This window comes from Homo sapiens, chromosome 11 (genome assembly GCF_000001405.40).
Source record: "Homo sapiens chromosome 11, GRCh38.p14 Primary Assembly".
Taxonomy (NCBI): Eukaryota; Metazoa; Chordata; class Mammalia; order Primates; family Hominidae; genus Homo; species Homo sapiens.
The window spans coordinates 1,547,187-1,554,050 of NC_000011.10; positions in this window are offsets into that span (position 1 = coordinate 1,547,187).

Consider the following 6,864-nt stretch of genomic DNA (forward strand, 5'->3'; position numbering starts at 1 on the left):
CCCCGCGCCTGCCTCCCGGTCCTCGGAGCCCCCGGCTGCGCCCCGCGGCGCGCGCAGGTTGGGCAGGTTCTGGGCTCTGGGCGGCGGGGCGTGGAGGAGCCCTGGGGCGGGATTGTGACTGGGCGCTTCCTGCGGGGTTGGCGGCCCGGACGCCGGTGCCACCCGAGCCACCCAGCGATGCTCTGGGCCCCCTACGTCGGGGCTGACCTCACCGCCCATCCTGGCGGACCCCGCCCGCTCTAATGGGACCGCGCCCACCCTACACTGGCCTGCAGCCGCCGTCCTCCCGGCTGCGGGTTCCTTGCCCTCAGGGAGGGCGGGGCCGCCACCAGCTGCCCGGAGAGGTGGGGGGACCCAAACCTCCCCTCGCCCACACCAACCCCGTCCTACTGCCCTCAATCCTGCCCCTCCTGGAGTTTCTTGTTACGGTCCACACAGGCGAAGGGCCCCATCGGCCGCGCCTTGCCAGCCCTAATGCCCTCCGAGAGGCGGAGGCCCCACAGTAGGAACCCGGACTGAAGTCACTCCCTGGCGCTGCTAGGGGCTCAGGGTGGAGGGCTCAAGGGTGTCCGGGAAGGGCCTTCGCCCTTCAGCCTCAAAGCCCCCCCAGTCCTCTGGTTTTCTGTTCCTCTTTTGGGCCCCCAGCTTGTGAGCGCCCGCTGGGTAGGTGGGCAAGAGGTGACCGAGCAGAACCAGGCACCGGGACCGTCCGGTTTGGGTCTGGCTTCCACACTGGCTGCAGTGCGCCCTGCCCCAGGCCGGCAAAGTCTCTGAGCCCCATTCCTGCCGCTGGCCGAAGGATTGGGTTGGGCGAGGAAGATATGGAAACTGCCCCACAAGCCCCCCTCCCACCCCCAGGACGCCGCCCCCACCGGCTAGGCTCTGGGCAGGCCTAGTGTCCACTGATCTCGCCAATCGGCCCTGTGTTCCAGGGCTGTCGGGGGTCTCCTGGGCCAGGGGCTTGACGGAGGGAGTGGGGTGGGGAGGGTGGAGAGGCACCGGAATCTCTTTCTGCTTGGGAGTGGGGGCGGGCGGATATCAGGAGGGGCCACTGCCCCGCAGATGACCCAGAGCCGAAGACCGCGGGCTGTGGCCAGCGCAGGCTCCACGCGCCCCGACCCTCGCGGCAGGGAGGCCCCGCCCACTGTTGGGCAGGTTCTTGACTTCACCCTGCTTCCCCAAACGTTTCCGGGTGCAAACGCCCCTCTGGGCTGGGGTGGGATGAGGGAGGGGAGCCCTAGAATGGAGTTTTGTTTTCCTCCTCTGGCATCAGGTGCTCAAGCCCAAGCTCCTCCCTCCACCCGCCTCTGGCCCTTCCCTGGCTTCTATTTCCAGCTCTCCTTGGCTATTTATAGCTGCGACCGGCCGGCAATTGCGTCAGTCAGGGGCAGGCTTCGGCCGGCGATGCCAACGGTGCCACCAGTCCCCCTACATTCCCCTACCCTTCCTGGGTAGTCACCTGCCCTGCGCTGTCCTGGTCGGAGGCCCCAGGTGTGTGGGGGGCGGGAGTGCGTTCTGCAGGTGCGCTCAGCCATGAGGGCGCATGTGCTGGGGCAGAGTGGGAGGGCACTGGACTTGGTGGGGGGGGGGGGCAGCAGAATTCCTGGCGGGGAAGGGGTAAGCGGCGTCTTCCCCTTTCCTTCCCAGAGCTTCCTCCTGGGAGCTGCCTGGGGACAGGCCACTGTTCCTTGGTTTCATGGGTGGTGTCTGCAAAGACTGGGAGAGATGCCCCTGGACCTAGCACCCGTCCCCCTCCCCCCGCCCACCTTCCAGAATGAAGGCCCTTCACTGAGTTCCTCTCCTCTCACCCCACTACTGAGGCCTCCCTCTCCCCAGCATTCTCACTCAACTCCAGTTCAGCTCCCATACCCCTTCCCTCCCTGAGGCCACCCCCAACCCAGCCCCTCTGGAGGGGGACATTGAAGGGTTCTGAAGCAAGACAAGTCTACCTGCTCAGTTTGGAAGGACTGAAGGGCATCCACCCAGGCACTTGCCTAGTGTTTGGCAAAGGCCTGCCCTGGCATCGCCCTGCTTGGGGGTGGGAGGCACACGCATGTTCCCCTCGCCCCACCAGGATCCCCTCTGAGCTCTGGTCCCCACAGTCAGGGACCACTCGCTTCACAAACAAGCCATCATCACGCCTTCAGGGCCTAGTGTCTTCCACAGAGGCTCCTACCCCAGGAGACCCATTCCCAGGGGCAGGAGTGGGGCCTGGGACTGTGGGCTGCCTTACAGGTCTAGACCCTCACCCCTGGGCCAGAAGGCTGTGCTTTCTCTGGAGGGACTGTGCCGCCGAGCCCCAGCTGCCTGCAGGGATAATTGAGTTTCCCCACGTGCTCCCACCATGGACACAAGGCATTTGTTGTGAAGCTCTGCTGAGAATCAGCCCCTCCTCTCCCACCCTCTGTCCAGGGCCCGCCCTGCCCTGTGCCCTGCGCCCTTCCGGGGAGGTTGGGGCACCCTCTGCTGGTGTCCATTGTATAGGCCCCTCAAAGACTCCATGGCTTCCCCTTAACAGCAAGTCCTCCCTTCATCTTGCCCACAAAGAACCACTCTTCTTAGACACTCCCCCAACCCACCTGCCATTCAGAGCCCCATCGAGATGCACCCTCTTCCCGTCGGGCCTTGCCTTGGCCAGAGGCCTTCAGCTTCTGCCTGGCTCCCCGCAGGGCGCTCCTACCTCTGCCTTTTCTCCCATGCTGTGGACCTTTGCAATGTCCTCCTGCCCCACCTGCCCCCAGCCCCTCCAAACACAACCTGGCCTTCAGAGGCCAAAACTCTCCTCCTGAAAGGCTTCCTGAGAACTGGCCCTCTGCCCTTTCTCCTGCTCAGTCTCTTCAGTTCTGAGCTCCGGAAGGGCCTTGGTAAGTCCATCCACAGGAGTACAGTGGCAGCTGGCAGGGGTGCCACTGAGACCAGCCTCCAGCTTACTTCCAGGGATGGCTCGGCAGGCAGAGGAATGGTGCCTGAGAGACCAGGAACCAAGCCCAGCCCCAACTTGGCCCCTGACCCTCTAAGGGACATTGACCAAGCCTGTTCCTCTCCCTGGGCCTTGGAGAGGGTCTCTCCTGTGATGTCCCACTCCAAGACAGTTAGTATGTGGCTTATTCATTGGACATTCACTGGGTACCTTCTGTATGCAAAGACCAGGTACCCATCTGCAGTCCAATGGAGAATGGAGGTAAGCACAAGCTGGCTTTAATGTAAGACTAACAGAAGTGCAACTAACGCAATGTAACATTATTACCCACCCACCTTCGCTCCCTCCCTCCCTCTCATTTACCCATTCTTCCACCTCCTATCCACCCCATCACTTCTCCACCCGTCCATCCATCTGTCCACCTTCCTTTCCTTCTACTCCCTAGCCACACATCTACTTGCCTATTTATGAATACCCATTTATGTATTCATCCATCCATCCATCCTATTCATTCCTCCACCCATTCATCCATGTACCCACCCACCCCACTCATCCCTCTACCCATTCATCCATCTGCCCATCCATCCATCCACCCACCCACCCCACTCATCCCTCTACCCATTCATCCATTTGCTCATCCATCCATCCATCCACCCACCCATCCACCCCACTCATCCCTCTACCCATTCATCCATCTGCCCACGTATCCATCCATCCACCCACCCACCCCACTCATCCCTCTACCCATTCATCCATCTGCCCATCCATCCATCCATCCATCCACCCACCCCACTCATCCCTCTACCCATTCATCCATCTGCCCATCCATCCATCCACCCACCCACCCCACTCATCCCTCTACCCATTCATCCATTTGCTCATCCATCCATCCATCCACCCACCCATCCACCCCACTCATCCCTCTACCCATTCATCCATCTGCCCATCCATCCATCCATCCACCCACCCACCCCACTCATCCCTCTACCCATTCATCCATCTGCCCATCCATCCATCCATCCATCCACCCACCCATCCACCCCACTCATCCATCTACCCATTCATCCATCTGCCCATCCATCCATCCATCCACCCACCCATCCACCCCACTCATCCCTCTACCCATTCATCCATCTGCCCATCCATCCATCCATCCATCCACCCACCCCATTCATCCCTCTACCCATTCATCCATCTGCCCATCCATCCATCCACCCACCCGCCCACCCCACTCATCCCTCTACCCATTCATTCATCTGCCCATCCATCCATCCATCCACCCACCCACCCCACTCATCCCTCTACCCATTCGTCCATCTGCCCATCCATCCATCCATCCACCCACCCATCCACCCCACTCATCCCTCTACCCATTCATCATCTGCCTATCCATCCATCCAACCACCCACCCCACTCATCCCTCTACCCATTCATCCATTTGCTCATCCATCCATCCACCCACCCACCCCACTCATCCCTCTACCCATTCATCCATCTGCCCATCCATCCATCCACCCACCCACCCCACTCATCCCTCTACCCATTCATCCATCTGCCCATCCATCCATCCATCCACCCACCCATCCACCCCACTCATCCCTCTACCCATTCATCCATCTGCCCATCCATCCATCCATCCACCCACCCCATTCATCCCTCTACCCATTCATCCATCTGCCCATCCATCCATCCGTCCACCCACCTGCCCACCCCACTCATCCCTCTACCCATTCATTCATCTGCCCATCCATCCATCCATCCACCCACCCACCCCACTCATCCCTCTACCCATTCATCCATCTGCCCATCCATCCATCCACCCGCCCACCCCACTCATCCCTCTACCCATTCATCCATTTGCCCATCCATCCATCCATCCATCCATCCACCCCACTCATCCCTCTCCACCCATTCATCCATCTGCCCCTCTATCCATCCATCCACCCATCCCATTTATCCCTCCACCTATTGATCCATCCACCCATCCACCCCACTCATCCCTCTACCCATTCATCCATCTGCCCACCCATCCACCCATTCATTGATCCATCCATCCATCCATCTACCCACCCACCCACCCCACGCATCCCTCTACCCATTCATCCATCTGCCCTTCTACCCACCCATCCATGCACCCATCCATCCATCCACCATTCATCCATCTGCCCATCCATAAATTCACCTATCCATCCATCCATGTCTCCCTCCCTCATCCACCCATCTACCCACCCATCCAAGACCCATCCAGCAACTAAAGCTCTTGTCCTGGGGGGAGACACAGCTGTAGGCAGGGCAACAAGCCTTTAGGGGACTCTACGTAGCAGTTGGAGGCCAGTCCACCAGTGTTCAACTCTTGCTTCACCGCCTACTTTGGGCAGCTCTTGGACCACTAGGAGCCTGATTGAGTTGGTAAATGAGACCCCCTCCTTCCATCTGGAGTCTTACACTGCCCCCAGGGTCCTGAGACCTATGTGCCCCAGATGGGCATCCTAGGAGAGGCCGTCACCCACCTGCTGGAGCTGCAGGTGCTCCTGCGCACAGGGGGTAAGGGAGCACCTCGGTGCTGCTTGAGTCAGCCATCAGCTCTTTCCAGGCCTCAGTTTTATTGACTGCTGGGGGCTGCCTGAGTTATAAATAGATGTTCTTGAGCCAAAAATAGCCTTGCGGGAGCATCAGACTATGTTTCTAGCTTTCCTCCTTTTTGAGGACTCTTAAAGATGCAGGATTCAAGGACCCTACCTCCTCCTGCAGCCCCCGAGGAGGGACTGGCCCCCTCCTCTTCCCCTCTCTTGCTTCCTCTTCCTCCTGTCTCATGAGCACTCACACACACGGTCTGGACAGCATCACTGGTTGGGAGGGGTCCCTGGGAGAGGTATACTAAACCTGGAAGAAGCTGCATGAACCAGGTCTGTGTGGTAAGGACAGATCTGGTATCCTCCGCCACAGTGTAGACAAGCCTCAGCCCGGGCTGCACGCACACTGTGAATCTTTGCAGCCTGTGGCACCTGCAGCAGCCAGGTCTGCCCTCGGTGGGGGGTGGGGGGGGGGGAGGCGGGGCTCTGCAGGCCGGGCTGGGGCTGCCTCCAGGGAGAGGACCCTGGAGGCTGGGGACAAGCCTGGGGGAGACAAACCAGTACTTTCTACCACATACCCTGGTGTGCTTTTAATCCTTGTATGACATGCACATTACTTAAGATTTGAAAAGCTGGTTGGAGGCCAGGCACGGTGGCTCACACCTGTAATCCCAGCACTTTGGGAGGCCAAAGCAAGCGGATCACTTGAGGTCAGTGAGATTGAGACCAGCCTGGCCAACATGGTGCAACCCCATCTCTACTAAAAATACAAAAATTAGCCAAGTGTGATGGCACGTGCCTGTAATCCCAGCTACTTGGGAATCTGAGGCATGAGAATTGTTTGAACCGGGGAGGCGGAGGTTGCAGTGAGCGGAGATCGCACCATTGCACTCCAGCCTAGATGACAGAACGAAACTCCATTTCAAAAAAAAAAAAAAAAAAAGTCTGGTTGGAGACACTATATATAGCTAGACCCCTATTTCTGCTGGTACGTATATGCACCCACACACATGCACACAGCACACAGCACACATGGAGGGGCTGGGAGGGAAGCATCCAACTGTTCACATTGGGATTGTGGGAGTGAGGGGACTGGTGGGTAACACTGAGGTTTTATATCGTTTTAAGTTATTTAAGCTTTTACTAGCCTGTAACAACTGAAAAAGTGTGTTTTACACCCTAAAGGTGCAGCTGAGGACCTGTGCCCATGCCTGGCCCCCAGGGACTATTCTCAGAGCTCACCCGCGGTGTGAGCCTGGGGCAAGTTTCCAGACCCAACACACCAGGCTCTGGCCTCAGGCCTGCCTCCCAGCAGCCTCTGCCCCCACCCTGCCCACCACCAGTCTGAAGGAAGAGGCGCGGAGTCGTGGG